Source organism: Homo sapiens, chromosome 12, assembly GCF_000001405.40.
Source record: "Homo sapiens chromosome 12, GRCh38.p14 Primary Assembly".
Taxonomy (NCBI): domain Eukaryota; kingdom Metazoa; phylum Chordata; class Mammalia; order Primates; family Hominidae; genus Homo; species Homo sapiens.
The window spans coordinates 101,376,926-101,392,967 of record NC_000012.12 but is presented as its reverse complement, the minus strand read 5'-3'; the positions used below and the strand labels follow the sequence as shown (position 1 = coordinate 101,392,967).

The following is a 16,042-nucleotide window of genomic DNA, read 5'->3' as shown; positions in this document are numbered from 1 at the left end:
GAGAATTCCCGTTTGAGATACACACTACATCAAAGCACAGATGCTGAAGTGAATGAACATTTGATTTCTGTGCCACATACTGTCATATTCTAAGCCCGTAATTACAAATTATAAAGCATGGACTTTTGTTTTTTTTTTTTTTTTTTTTTTTTGAGATGGAGTCTCACTGTCACCCAGGCTGGAGTGCATTGGCACGATCTCGGCTCACTGTAACCTCTGCCTCCCAGGCGCAAGCGATTCTCCTGGCTCAGCCTCCTGAGTAGCTGGGACTACAGGTGCCGTGCCACCACGCCCGGCTAATTTTTGTATTTTTAGTAGAGACAGGGTTTCATCATGTTGGCCAGGCTGGTCTCGAACTCCTGACCTCAAGTGATCCACCTGCCTTGGCCTCCCAAAGTGCTGGGATTACAGGTGTGAGCCACCACGCTCAGCTCAAAGCATGGACTTTGAATCTTGATTGTAGCACCTACATCCTGTATCACCCTTAGGCAAGTTATTTACTCTGAGTCTCAGTTTCTTCATCTGTAAAATAGGAACCAATTGTAGAAATCTCTCAGGAGTACTAGGATTAAACAAAATGTATCCAAAGTGCCTGGCACATAGGGTGGATTTCCCACCCCATATGTCCCCAAATATATGGGGCACTAAAGAATATTTCTTCCACATCAAGTATAGGGTGAGGCAAAAGATGCTATGTGGTTGAACAACAGAAACAACTTGAGCCACCTCTAAATAAGTGTGACTTATTACAGTTTTAGTTTGTTTTTATTTTTTTATTATACTTTAAGTTTTAGGGTATATGTGCACAACGTGCAGGTTAGTTACATATGTATACATGTGACATGCTGGTGTACTACACCCACTAACTCGTCATCTAGCATTAGGTATATCTCCCAATGCTATCCCTCCCCCCTTCCCCCACCTCACAACAGTCCCCAGAGTGTGATGTTCCCCTTCCTGAGTCCATGTGTTCTCATTGTTCAGTTCCCACCTATGAGTGAGAATATGCGGTGTTTGGTTTTTTGTTCTTGGCGATAGTTTACTGATAATGATGATTTCCAATTTCATCCATGTCCCTACAAAGGACATGAACTCATCATTTTTTATGGCTGCATAGTATTCCATGGTGTATATGTGCCACATTTTCTTAATCCAGTCTATCATTGTTGGACATTTAGTTTGGTTCCAAGTCTTTGCTATTGTGAATAGTGCCGCAATAAACATACGTGTGCATGTGTCTTTATAGCAGCATGATTTATAGTGCTTTGGGTATATACCCAGTAATGGGATGGCTGGGTCAAATGGTATTTCTAGTTCTAGATCCCTGAGGAATCGCCACACTGACTTCCACAGTGGTTGAACTAGTTTACAGTCCCACCAACAGTGTAAAAGTGTTCCTATTTCTCCACATCCTCTCCAGCACCTGTTGTTTCCTGACTTTTTAATGATTGCCATTCTAACTGGTGTGAGATGGTATCTCATTGTGGTTTTGATTTGCATTTCTCTGATGGCCAGTGATGGTGAGCATTTTTTCATGTGTTTTTTGGCTGCATAAATGCCTTCTTTTGAGAAGTGTCTGTTCATGTCCTTCGCCCACTTGTTGATGGGGTTGTTTGTTTTTTTTCTTGTAAATTTGTTTGAGTTCATTGTAGATTCTGGATATTAGCCCTTTGTCAGATGAGTAGGTTGCGAAAATTTTCTCCCGTTTTGTGGGTTGCCTGTTCACTCTGATGGTAGTTTCTTTTGCTGTGCAGAAGCTCTTTAGTTTAATTAGATCCCATTTGTCAATTTTGGCTTTTGATGCCATTGCTTTTGGTGTTTTAGACATGAAGTCCTTGCCCATGCCTATGTCCTGAATGGTATTGCCTAGGTTTTCTTCTAGGATTTTTATGGTTTTAGGTCTAACGTTTAAGTCTTTAATCCATCTTGAATTGATTTTTGTATAAGGTGTAAGGAAGGGATCCAGTTTCAGCTTTCTACATATGGCTAGCCAGTTTTCCCAGCACCATTTATTAAATAGGGAATCCTCTCCCCATTGCTTGTTTTTCTCAGGTTTGTCAAAGATCAGATGGTTGTAGATATGCAGCATTATTTCTGAGAGCGCTGTTCTGTTCCATTGATCTATGTCTCTGTTTTGGTACCAGTACCATGCTGTTTTGGTTACTGTAGCCTTGTAGTATAGTTTAAAGTCAGGTAGCGTGATGCCTCCAGCTTTGTTCTTTTGGCTTAGGATTGACTTGGCGATGCGGGCTCTTTTTTGGTTCCATATGAACTTTAAAGTAGTTTTTTCCAATTCTGTGAAGAAAGTCATTGGTAGCTTGATGGGGATGGCATTGAATCTATAAATTACCTTGGGCAGTATGGCCATTTTCACGATATTGATTCTTCCTATCCCTAAGCATGGAATGTTCTTCCACTGGTTTGTATCCTCTTTTATTTCATTGAGCAGTGGTTTGTAGTTCTCCTTGAAGAGGTACTTCACGTCCCTTGTAAGGTGGATTCCTAGGTATTTTATTCTCTTTGAAGCAATTGTGAATGGGAGTTCACTCATGATTTGGCTCTCTCTTTGTCTGTTATTGGTGTATAAGAATGCTTGTGATTTTTGTACATTGATTTTGTATCCTGAGACTTTGCTGAAGTTGCTTATCAGCTTAAGGAGATTTTGGGCTGAGACAATGGGGTTTTCTAGATATACAATCATGTCGTCTGCAAACAGGGACAATTTGACTTCCTCTTTTCCTAACTGGATACCCTTTATTTCCTTCTCCTGCCTAATTGCCCTGGCCAGAACTTCCAACACTGTGTTGAATAGGAGTGGTGAGAGAGGGCATCCCTGTCTTGTGCCAGTTTTCAAAGGGAATGCTTCCAGTTTTTGCCCATTCAGTATGATATTGGCTGTGGGTTTGTCATAGATAGCTCTTATTATTTTGAGATACATCCCATCAATACCTAATTTATTGAGAGTTTTTAGCATGAAGGGTTGTTGAATTTTGTCAAAGGCCTTTTCTGCATCTATTGAGATAATCATGTGGTTTTTGTCTTTGGTTCTGTTTATATGCTGGATTACGTTTATTGATTTGCGTATATTGAACCAGCCTTGCATCCCAGGGATGAAGCCCACTTGATCATGGTGGATAAGCTTTTTGATGTGCTGCTGGATTCGTTTTGCCAGTATTTTATTGAGGATTTTTTCATCAATGTTCATCAAGGATATTGGTCTAAAATTCTCTTTTTTTGGTTGTGTCTCTGCCCAGCTTTGGTATCAGGATGATGCTGGCCTCATAAAATGAGTTAGGGAGGATTCCCTCTTTTTCTATTGATTGGAATAGTTTCAGAAGGAATGGTACCAGTTCCTCCTTGTACCTCTGGTAGAATTCGGCTGTCAATCCATCTGGTCCTGGACTCTTTTTGGTTGGTAAGCTATTGATTATTGCCACAATTTCAGCTCCTGTTATTGGTCTGTTCAGAGATTCAACTTCTTCCTGGTTTAGTCTTGGGAGAGTGTATGTGTCGAGGAATGTATCCATTTCTTCTAGATTTTCTAGTTTATTTGCATAGAGGTGTTTGTAGTATTCTCTGATGGTAGTTTGTATTTCTGTGGGATCGGTGGTGATATCCCCTTTATCATTTTTTATTGCGTCTATTTGATTCTTCTCTCTTTTTTTCTTTATTAGTCTTGCTAGCGGTCTATCAATTTTGTTGATCCTTTCAAAAAACCAACTCCTGGATTCATGAATTTTTTGAAGGGTTTTTTGTGTCTCTATTTCCTTCAGTTCTGCTCTGATTTTAGTTATTTCTTGCCTTCTAGCTTTTGAATGTGTTTGCTCTTGCTTTTCTAGTTCTTTTAATTGTGATGTTAGGGTGTCAATTTTGGATCTTTCCTGCTTTCTCTTGTGGGCATTTAGTGCTATAAATTTCCCTCTACACACTGCTTTGAATGCATCCCAGAGATTCTGGTATGTTGTGTCTTTGTTCTCGTTGGTTTCAAAGAACATCTTTATTTCTGCCTTCGTTATGTACCCAGTAGTCATTCAGGAGCAGGTTGTTCAGTTTCCATGTAGTTGAGCAGTTTTGAGTGAGTTTCTTAATCCTGAGTTCTAATTTGATTGCACTGTGGTCTGAGAGATAGTTTGTTATAATTTGTGTTCTTTTACATTTGCTGAGGAGAGCTTTACTTCCAACTGTGTGGTCAATTTTGGAATAGGTGTGGTGTGGTGCTGAAAAAAATGAATATTCTGTTGATTTGGGGTGGAGAGTTCTGTAGATGTCTATTAGGTCCGCTTGGTGCAGAGCTGAATTCAATTCCTGGGTATGCTTGTTGACTTTCTGTCTCGTTGATCTGTCTAATGTTGACAGTGGGGTGTTAAAGTCTCCCATTATTAATGTGTGGGAGTCTAAGTCTCTTTGTAGGTCACTCAGGACTTGCTTTATGAATCTGGGTGCTCCTGTATTGGGTGCATGTATATTTAGGATAGTTAGCTCTTCTTGTTGAATTGATCCCTTTACCATTATGTAATGGCCTTCTTTGTCTTTTTTGATTTAAAGTCTGTTTAATCAGAGACTAGGATTGCAACCCCTGCCTTTTTTTGTTTTCCATTTGCTTAGTAGATCTTCCTCCATCCTTTTATTTTGAGCCTATGTGTGTCTCTGCATGTGAGGTGGGTTTCCTGAATACAACACACTGATGGGTCTTGACTCTTTATCCAATTTGCCTTCAAAGTAAAGTTTCAAAGAAACCACCTGTTTTCTTTGTACTAATAACTTTGTATTAATGTGGTTTTGGCCGAACGTTAGAAAATGTTATCAGGAAATATATTATGTACAGAAAGTAATGTAATGAAGCATTATGAACTTGGAAATCTGGCACCAAATGTAAGACACTGAACAGTTTGAGGACAGTTTAAGTCCCCCAACCCCACCATGTTCTTCTCCCTTGATCCTATTCCTTCTCAGAAGTACCTTCTATCCTGAAAACTTTGAAATCGTTAATTTTTTTCTACAGATTTATATATGTACACAAAATTTTATTACAGTGGTATTCAACTCTAATTTTTCTTTTCCCCCCACTCAACATTGTTTCTAGAATATCATCTATATTTATATATATATATATAATTAGCTGATTTCCGCTACTTTATTTCAGTATATGAATAAACCATTTTATTTATTCTCTTGTGGAAGGACATTTGGATTGCTTCTAGTTCTTGACTTTTAGTAATGGTTCAAGAACATTCTTCAGATCCATGGTTCATGGTTTCTCTAGGAGTGGAATTTGGGATCAGGGAGTATACCTGTCTTCAGGTTTACAAGATAATGTCAAACTGCTTTCCAAAGTGGTTTATAAGATTTCCTATGGCTCCACCATGCTTGCCAGCACTTGGTATTGTCAGCTTTATCAATCTGATGATTTCAAAATGGAATCTAATTCTGGTGATAACTGGCATTTTCCTAATTACTAATGAGGCTAAATACAGGAGTGACTCAAACAATTTAACAACTAGACATAGCTAGTACAGTAGGACTCCGACTAATCCAGGTATTCTTTAACTTCTGGTGTGAGAAGGTATGTAATCTAAGAACCTCATGTAGCCAGGGTGGCACTTGGGGGTCTCAATGTAATGACTTACCAAGCAGTGCATAATACTTAAAAAAAAAAAGTTATAGCCATATCAGCTAACAATGTTTAAGGACCATTTACGTTTCTCCTTTTGTGCAATGCTCATTTCTCTCTTTTGCCACTTTTTCCACTAGATTATCTGTGTTGATTCATCAGTATTCATTATATGTCCTGGTACTACTAATTGTTTAACAGTATGTGTTGTATGCCATGTCCCAGTTTGTGTTTTTTCCTAAGCAGAAGTTCTTAATGAAGTAGGATTTATTACACGTTCTCTCTATAGATAGTTTTTGTGTCTTACTTTTGATATCCAATAGGGCAAGCCCCTCATCCTGTTCTACTTTTGTGAGAGTGTCATGGTTATTCTTGGCTTAATATCATCTTCCATATACATTTTAGAATTAGCTTGTTGGGTTAACGTGAAGAACTCTTGGGATTTTGCTCAGATACACATTTAACCAAAGGATCAACTTGGGAAAAAGAAGTAGCGTTTTATGATCCTGAATCTTCCTAGCCAAGAACATGGTTATAGTTCCGTTTGTGCAGATCTTTCTTACTGCCTTTTCCTAAAATTTTAGCAAGTACTATAGAGCAGTATTTGCAAATCTTTTGTTTGATTAATTGCTAACTTCTACATTTTTTCTTGCTATTTAAAAATGTATCCTTTTATTTACAAATTATATTTTAAACTCTGACTAGTGTCACATGCTTTTTAAACAGTGAAGACCCAGCAGTAGTATAGTGTTTTATTTATTTAAAAAATATGAGCATGATTACATTAAACTATATATTATACAATCTATCCAAAGTTTAACTAACTTAAATAATAAAACCTGGTTGAGCAGGGTGGCTCACACCTGTAATCCCAGCACTTTGGGAGGCCGAGGCAGGCGGATCAGTTGAGCCCAGGTGTTCGAGACCAGCCTGGCCAACATGGCGAAATCCTGTTTCTACAAAAAATACAAAATACAAAAAATTTGCCGGGCATAGTGTTGTGTGCCTAGGAGGCACAACTACTTGGGAGGCTGAGGTGAGAGGATCACTTGAACCCAGGTTGAGGCTGCAGTGAGCTGTGATGTCGTCACTGCACTCCACCTTGGGTGACAGAGTGAGACCTTGTCTCAAAAAAAAAAAAAAACGCCTCCCCCCTACCCCAGACAACCTACTGTAATTTCAGACTAGCAGAATATTCCAGAAAGTTCATGCTTGTATCAGCACAGGGAGACATTACTCCACCATTGCTAAATCTTTCAGGCTATGGCTTTTTTGTCTCTTGGCCTTATATCCTGGACGCAGGAACTCTATCTTTCTCTTCTTTGCTTCACTTTTATTTTTGTGTTTCTTCATTTTTTTCTTGGCAGCAATATCAGGATTAGTTACAAACTGGAAAAGAGAATAGAAATTTTATATTACTTTTAAAGTAAATGTTAAACCAATAAGAATCAAATACAGAAATAAATGTAAAAAACACATGCTCATTAAAGAAAATCTGAAGTCCCAGCTATAAAGTCCCCAACCGCTCAAACCCTTGATCCTCCCTAAGTGTAAGTGTGACACAAACATGCACACTTAGTAGTTATCAAGTCCAGTGAACATGCCATATTTTCAAAGAGCAAACTTACCTCCAGGGCCTTCCTCTTTTTCCGGAGTGCCCTTTTCTCATTAGCCTGTTTCTGTACAGAGGCAAAGGCTAATGAGAAGCTCTCAAGCCCAACCAGCTTTTTGAGTAATTCTATGATTTCCTGGGATAGATTCTTCAGCAAAGGATCTAATCACACACAAAGAGTAATGATCAGAGACAGGTAGGAAAGGACACATTTGAACATCAACAAAATCAACAATATGTACAACATTTATATCCAGCTACTGATCTGGCAAGAAACCCCAAATAAAACAAAACAAAATTTCAACTCTTGCAGCATTATCACTGTTACTTCAACATTAAACACTGATATAAAACTAGCCTCTATGTTCCTGGGATGGGGAAACCAGCAATGCTAGACATAGCACTCCAGCCACCACCTCACCCAGGATGCAATAAGAAATCAGAGAACATGAGGCCCACTTCCCAGCGGAAACCTGGCCCTGAAGACATTAAAGTAACTTGGGACCTTGACAGAAACGTTTTGAATTACCTCTGTTTACCTGTTGAGCTCTTGCAGATGGGGGGAAAAGTAAGAGATTCCCTCTCTAATCCATGATGGGTCACAGAGGCTTAGCTCTGCCCACAGTAACTTTTTTTTTTTTTTTTTTGGCGGGGGAGTGTCAAAAGCCTCCTTTGTGAAGTTGACAAAAAAGCCATTTCTCCCACCCTTCTCTGCCACTCACCCCTATATACAAATAACCCCCAATTTCAATTTCACAGGAGCTCAGGACATCTGTTCTAGATCACAAGCTTCTTGAAAACTTTCCTGCTGTTGAATCCCTAGTGCCTGGCAGATATTAGATGCTCATTAAATGTTGACTGGGTTGAACCAAAGCACACCTGAACCTGCTTTTGTCAGCAGCCTCAACCTTTACCATTGCTTTTTCCTTTGTAAGAGTGAGGAAACTTTCTCCCAAGGTTGTAGGACTGTAAAAGCTCTTGCTTTGACATTTGCTTCATTTGTTTTATTTTCAAACTCTGAACATTCACTTTACCTCCTTTCCTTCCTGCCCCCAGTTCCCTCTTTACCTGTTATTACCAACAATTAGAATAAGTGAGGGAAATGTATCAGGCAAGGAAAAAGAAGAAATGTTAAAATGATATTTTAAAACTATTTCATATAAAAATGATAATACTTATATTTTTGCCATATAATCTTTCTTTTGAGACAGTATCTCACTCTGTTGCCCAAGCAGGAGTGCAGTGGTGCAATCACGGCTCACTGAAGCCTCGACCTCACAGCCTCAAGAGATCCCCCCACCTCAGCCTCCTAAGTAGCTGCAATTATAGTTGTGCACCACCACACCCAGCTAATTTTTGTATCTTTTGTAGAGATGGGGTTTTGCCATGTTGCCCAGGCTGGTCTTGAACTTCTGGGCTCAAGTGATCCTCCCAACTTGGCTTCCCAAAGTGTGGGATTACAGGCGTGAGCCACTACGCCCAGCCTATAATTTTTAAGATGAGAATGTAATGACATTTTATTATTCATTATTATTCATTGTGCTATGAGGTTTAAAACTACCCTGAACCATAGTTTTCTTTGACTATTTAATCTATGTTGAGGATAAAGCATCATCTTTTATGTGAGAAACATTCTTTCTGGGACAGCAGAAAGCATACAGAAGAGGGCAATCAAATATAATACAAATATGCCTATTTGTTAATTATCTTGATATAAGTTTTCTTTTTAAAAATAAACTCTGGCTGGGTACAGTAGCTCACTTCTATAGTCTCAACACTTTGGGAGGCTGAGGTTGGAAGACTGCTTGAAGCCAGGAGTTTGAGACCAAGACCAGCCTGGCATAACATAGACCACTATTCATCTCTCTCTCTTTTTTAAATGTATGTGTGTGTGTGTGTGTGTATATATATAAATATAAACATATATAAGTATATAATATATAATTAAAATATATATATAAATAAAAATAAATCTCAGGCAGGGAGGGAGGACAGAAAGGAAGAAGGAAACATTCAGGAGAGAAGTTAGAAATCCTCATGTGCAAAAGGCAGGAGAACAGACGAGGCAGGGTTACCTTGCTCTGAATAGGTGCTGTTGAGTTCCCGAAACAAAGGAGCTATGATCATTGGGAGATACGGCTTTACCTTGTCTATCCCAAGATCCATTGCTACGGCGCCGAGGAACTTAAAGATGCATGTTCTCTGAAAGTACAGATCATTTTTTTCATTTGAAAGACTTCTCTTTAGCACTCAATCATAGACACAGCATTAATTGAGAAAACAGGGCTCAGTCTATTTTGGGACGGATGTTATTGCTGCAGTTTGGGGTTCAAAGATAAAGTTTCTAGGGACTTAGGAGGATCACTAATATCATTAAAATACTTTTTAAAGAGAAATGACTACTGTCAGTCATTCTGTGCATTCATCGCACCTTTAAGGGGTTTCTCGGCGAATAAGCAGCTTCCAGTTTTGCAATCCGGGACAGCTTCTGGATCAACCACAGCAGCGTGGCCGGCCTGCCGAGCTCTTCCTTCACCTCTTCCTTCTCTTCTCCGTCAGACTCCGCCTTCTCATCTGCACAGGCCACACCATCTTCTAAAGCTTCTTGTTCTTCCAGGTCTTCTTTTATCTTACTTTGCTTATCCTCACAATAAAGTTCCAGTAAATACAAGACTTTGGCTGCGAACAACAAATTCTTAACAACCTTTAAAAAAAAACGGGGTGGGGGAAGAAATTGGACATTGATTTTGAAATAAATAAGGCTTAGTAGAGCATAAGCTAAAATAGGTATTCTACAATTAGAAAACAAAAACAAACTAGGTATTACAACTATTTAACAACTATTAAATGATGAAGGCTCCATTTTTAGATATTCCTTTTTTTTTTTTTTTTAAAGACAGAGCCTCACTCTGTTACCCAGGCTGAGGGCAGTGGTGCAATCTCGGCTCACTGTGACATCCCCCTCCCAGGTTTAAATGATTCTCATGCCTCAGCCTCCTGAGAAGCTGGGATTACAGGCGTGCACCACCATGCCTGGCTAATTTTTATACTTTTAGTAGAGACGGGGTTTCGCCATGTTGGCCAGGCTGGTCTCAAACTCCTGACCTCAGGTGATCTGCCTGCTTCAGCTTCCCAAAGTGATGCGATTACAGGTGTGAGCCACCGTGCCTGGCCTAGATCATTCTTAAGTTCTTCCTCATAGGGCATCCAAACCCATTTCCATGTAACTTTGATCTATCTGGACTAGTTCTACCCTTTAAAGTCACACAGAATAAGGAAACAATTTCCTTCTAGGCCCTCCATTTACATTTTTTGTTTTGTTTTGTTTTGTTTTTTGGGTATTTTTTGAGACAGAGTCTCACTTTGTTACCCAGGCTGGAGTGCAGTGGTGCGATCTCGGCTCAGTGAAACCTCTGCCTCTGGGTTCAAGCAATTCTTATGCCTCAGCCACCCCAGCAACTGGGACTACAGGCTACCGTGCTCAGCTAATTTTTGTATTTTTAGTAGAGACAGGGTTTCGCCATGTTGGCCAGGCTGGTCTTGAACTCCTGGCCTCGAGAGATCTGCTCATCTCGGCCTCCTGAAGTGCTGATGTTACAGGTGAGAGTCACCACACCAGCCCCATTTTACATTTTTAACAACAGCTTTCATCTCTACCTCCATTAAATTCCTTCCGCCATTCTACATAGAAATAACTATTTCTCTCTCTTTTTTTTTTTTTTTTTTGATACAGAGTCTAGCTCTGTTGCCCAGGCTGGAGTGCAGTGTGGTGATTTTGGCTTAGTGCAACCTCTGCCTCCCCAGTTCAAGTGAGTCTCTTGCCTCAGCCTCCTGTGTAGCTGGGACTACAGGCATGCGCCACCATGCCCAGCTAATTTTTGTCTTTTTAGTAGAGATGAAGTTTCACCATATTGGCCAAGATGGTCTTGAACTCCTGGCCTCAAGTGATGCACCTGCCTCGGCCTCCCAAAGTGCTGGGATTATAGGCGTGAGTCACCGCACCCAGACCCTTATTGGGAATTTTAAATGGAGCAAAGAGTAATCCCAATACAGACCCAGTGTTGACAAGACATATGTGTATTTGAACATATATTTGAGTGTATGTCTGTATTTCATCTAATCCCCCAAGCATTAAGATAGGTTCAAAACAAAACAAAATAACAAATGTAAGCTTAGACTGTTGATAGAATAGGCCCCTTCTTTATTTCTGAGACGGAGTCTCGCTCTGTCACCTAGGATGGAGTGCAGTGGCGTGATTTCGGCTTACTGCATCCTCCGCCTCCCACGTTCAAGCAATTCTCCCTGCCTCAGCCTCCCAAGTAGCTCGGATTACAGGCACCCGCAACCATGCCCTGCTAATTTTTTTGTATTTTTAGTAGAGATGGGGTTTCGCCATGTTGGCCAGGCTCATCTCGAACTCCTGACCTCGGGGTGATCTGGCCGCCTCGGCCTCTCAAAGTGCTGGGATTACAGGCGCGAGCCACCATGCCCAGCCGGCCCCTTCTTTTAAACTGGGAGAACTACAATTCTTACCTGTTCTCCTAGAGACTGATCCAAGAATTTGGAATGCAATTGATGGCAAGAGGCGAGAGAGATACTTTTCATCTGTGAAAAGAAAATGGACATTGGTAGACAAAACACAGGACATTTCTGATTGTTTTTAAAAAGCTAAACATAATAACTGTAATACAACTAACGTACTGGATTTTGCTCTGAATGACCACCTGTATAGATTTGGAGAGGAAAGGTTCATGACCAGAAGTGGTGTACTGCTCCCTTCTACCTGCCCTAAGCATTTCATCCCAAATAAATGGGATACTTTCACATTTTGGGGAGAAACAGGTAATAATACTCTACATTTTTTTTTTTTTTTTTTTTTTTAAGACAGAGTCTCACTCTGTGGCCCGGGCTGGACTGCACTGGAGTGATCTCGGCTCACTGCAACCTCTGCTTCCTGGGGTCAAGCAATTCTCCTGCCTTAGCCTCCCAAGTAGCTGGGATTACAGGCACCTACCACCACACCCAGCTAATTTTTTGTATTTTTAGTAGTGATGGGGTTTCGCCATGTTGGCCAGGCTGGTCTCGAACTCCTGACCTCAGGTGATCCACCCACCTCGGCCTCCCAATGTGTTGGGATTACAGGCATGAGCCACCACACCCGGCCAATCCTCTACATTACTAGTAGAGCACTTTACTACAGTCCAATATTTTTTTCTTCCTCTTTTCTTCCCTTCTACCCTCCACTCATTCAATATTTATGGGGTTCCACTATGAGTGAGACATTGTGCTAGGACCTAGGAAACCAGAGACACATATATCATGGTCCCTAACATTTTCTTTTCTTTTCTTTCTTTCTTTTTGTTTTTTTGAGATAAGATCTCGGTCTTGCCCAGACTGGAGTGCAGTGGCATGATCACAGCCCACTGTAACCTTGACCTCCCCAGGCTCAGGTGATCCCCCTATGTAAGTCTCCCAAGTAGCTAGGACTACAGGTGTACACCACCATGCCCAGCTAATTTCTGTACTTTTTGTAGAGATAGGTTTTCGCCATGTTGCCCAGGCTAGTCTCGAACTCCTGAGCTCAAGTGATCTGCTTGCCTCAGCCTCCTAAAGTGCTGGGATGACAGATGTGAATCACCATGCCTGGCCTGGACCCTGACATTTTCATGAACGTGATCTCATTTACATCATCAACAAGGTTATTAGGAGGCAAGACAGACAGTATTTATCTTATTTTCCAATGCCGATAAAGAACTTATTAGCTGGGTGTGGTGGCGTGTGCCTGTAATCCCAGGTACCCGGGAGGCTGAGGCAGAAGAATCCCTTGAATTCGGGAGGCAGAGGTTGCAGTGACCCGAGATCACACCACTGCACGCCAGCCTGGGTGACAGAGTGAGACTCCATCTCAGAAAAGAAAAAAAAAACTTAAACATATAATGGAAGATGGGCATGCTAAATAAGCAAATTAGAAGTCTGACTACACTAATGGTCTAAAAATTATCTTTGAAAAAACCCTGGCCTTGAGAGTGACCCCTCTCCAGTGACTAATATTCCTATTGATTCACCTGTACAACAAATTGTTGGTTGGAAGAGTTTCTCCCAAGGGCTGGCCCGAAGATAGTTACATGAACCAGAAGGAACATCTTACAGTCACGAGGGAAGGAAAAGGTTTGAGAGAAAGCTTACCTTTTGGTCAAGGTCACTGGCTAGGAACTTGATTGCTACAGGTTCTGGGAGGTGTTTTTTGGTCTTTTTGGTATTCCATTTTTGAATAAGCTCCTCTGGCTGGCAAGAGGCAAAGAGTAATCCAAAAATCTGGGCTGCTGTGAGCCACACCCAGTTGTGTGGATGTCTCAGGTGAGAATGCACATGACCTAAGGGAACCAAAAAGCATTTGTGGATGTCACATGGCCTTCCTGATTAGAGGTAAATATGACTAAGTTAAGCATTTACAGAGTATTATGTGTTTGGAGTGGGGAACCAAAGATGAACAAAATAAGCCAATGGCTGGGAAGTGGGGGCAGGGGATGAAAAGAGATTGGTTAATGTGTACAAAAATAGAATTAGATAGAAGGAATAAGTTTAGTGTTGGACAGCACAGTAGGATGACTATAGTTAACAACGATGTACTGTACATTTCAAAATAGCTGGAAGATTTGAAATGTTCCCAACACAAAGAGAGAATAAATGTTCAAGGGGAAGGATATTCTCATTACCCCAATTGGATCATTGGACATTGTATGCATGTATCAAAATATCATAGATACCCCATAAGTAGGCATAATTATGTATCAATTTAGAAAAAGACAAATAGTCCTTGCTTCTTAGAAGCTCACAGGAGCTAGAGAGAAGTGAGGTGGGAGAGGCACTGGAAACGACTAGAAAACCAACTCCTAGAGTGGTTAAATGACTCTAATGGGGTATAAACAGCCCTCAAACAGACCAGTTCCATAAGAACTAGTTTCAGATTCAAGGGAGATAAGGTGACATTAACAGTTACATTTTCTTTTTTTTCTTTTTTTTTTGCGACAGGGTTTCATTCCCATTGCCCAGGCTGGAGTGCAGTGGTGTACTCTCAGCTCACTACAACCTCTGCCTCCTGGGTTCAAGCAATCCCCCTGCCTCAGCCTCCTGAGTAACTGTTACTACAGGTACTCACCACCACACCCAGCTAATTTTTGTATTTTTAGTAGAGACAGGGTTTCATCATGTTGGTCAGGCTGGTCTCAAACTCCTTAAGTGATCCACTTGCCTCAGCCTTCCAAAGTGCTGGGATTACAGGTGTGAGCCACTGTGCCTGGCCAACAGTTACATTTTCTAAAGTGAGTAATGTAAGTATGTATATAGGTACAGGCTTGTTTCTAATCAGTAGAATTGGTGGCTCCAAGTAGCTGCCTGTAAAGCTATCATTTACTTACTGAAGGTTTTCTATATGCCAGGGACAGGGCTAATTGTGTTACATGTATTATCTCATTTAGACCTCATAACAATTCTGTGACGTTGGAATTATAATTTCCATCTTACAGATGAAGAAACAAGTGTTCCAGAAAGGCTGTGTGACATGCTAAGCTATAACAGGCAGAGCCAGTCCTGGGCCCTAGCTTGATCTGACCTTCAAACTCTTAATTCTTCAGCATTTGGCTACGTGGCCATTCTCCATACACCACACTCAGGAAGTTATTTTTTATAGAGATGGGGTTTCACCATGTTGCCCACGCTGGTCTCGAACTCCTGAGCTTAAGCAATCTGCAAGCCTCAGCCTCCCAAAGTGCTGGGATGACAGGCATGAGCCTCCATGCCCAGCTGAGACCCTAACATTTTCATGAACATGATCTCATTTAACCATCAACAAAGTTCTTAGGAGGCAGCACAGACAGTATTAATCTTATTTCCCAATGCTGGTAAAGGACTTAAACATATAATGGAAGATGGGCATGCTAAATACGCAAATTAAAAGTCTGACTACACTAATGGTCTAAAAATTATCTTTGAAGAAACCTTGGCCTTGAGTGTGACCCCTCTCCAGTGACCACCACTCCATTGAGACCCAAACTTCCCCTTCCCTGCTGTATCTCCCCTCCGTGTAAAGGAAAAAGAAAAGAAAAAAAAGTTTTAGGCTGGGTGCAGTGCCTCATGCCTGTAATCCCAGCACTTTGGGAGGCCGAGGCAGGCGGATCATGAGGTCAAGAGATGGAGACCATCCTGGCCAACACGGTGAAAACCTGTCTCTACTAAAAAATACAAAAATTAGCTGGGCATGGTGGCACACGCCTGTAGTCCCAGCTACTCAGGAGGCTGAGGCAGAAGAATCACTTGAACCCGGGAGGCAAAGGTTGCAGTGAGCTGAGATCGCACAACTACACTCCAGCCTGGCGACAGAGTGAGACTCCATCTCAAAAAAAAAAGTTTTATAATGTGGGTTTTGGGGAACAGGATGGATTAACCGTGTCATATCTCAGTTTTAGTCTTGCTGCTATATTTCATAGACATGTTTTTACTTTTGATCTACATGAATCTTTGTAATAATCTGGCCATGTTGCAATGAAGCCACACCTGAGAAGGTCATACAGTAACCTTGTTATTTCTCACAAATCTGAGTTCTGGCTCTTAAACCAGGTGAATACTTTATTTCAGTTAACAACAGACCACATAAGATGTGGTCCCGGCTGGGCACAGTGGCTCATGCCTGTAATCCCAGCACTTTGGGAGGCTGAGGCAGGTGGATCACCTGAGGTCAGGAGTTCAAGACCAGCCTGGCTAACATGGTGAAACCTGTCTCTACAGAAATACAAAAATTGGCCGGGTGTGGTGGCTCACAC

General features: G+C 41.1%; 1 protein-coding gene across 1 annotated transcript in view, besides 1 other annotated feature; it reads right to left on the bottom strand.

The window, feature by feature from the left end:
- Positions 1 to 6,349: 6,349 nt before the first annotated feature.
- Positions 6,350 to 16,042, bottom strand: part of UTP20 (UTP20 small subunit processome component) — a 106,514-nt gene continuing 96,821 nt past the window's right edge. The window contains exons 57-62 of the mRNA NM_014503.3: positions 13,410 to 13,597; positions 11,757 to 11,828; positions 9,655 to 9,927; positions 9,299 to 9,425; positions 7,240 to 7,385; positions 6,350 to 7,000 (exon numbers count right to left, since the gene is read on the bottom strand). Of these exons, the coding sequence (NP_055318.2) occupies positions 6,845 to 7,000; positions 7,240 to 7,385; positions 9,299 to 9,425; positions 9,655 to 9,927; positions 11,757 to 11,828; positions 13,410 to 13,597 (962 nt within the window). The 3' untranslated portion in view covers positions 6,350 to 6,844. The remainder of the gene's footprint in view (positions 7,001 to 7,239; positions 7,386 to 9,298; positions 9,426 to 9,654; positions 9,928 to 11,756; positions 11,829 to 13,409; positions 13,598 to 16,042) is intronic.
- Positions 6,713 to 6,927: a silencer, noted in NCBI's record as "fragment chr12:101779819-101780033 (GRCh37/hg19 assembly coordinates)". NCBI's record gives its function as "represses an EF-1alpha promoter that drives an FKBP-Casp9 reporter gene in an ReSE screen in K562 erythroleukemia cells {active_cell/tissue: K562}" and the evidence as "EXISTENCE:reporter gene assay evidence [ECO:0000049][PMID:32094911]".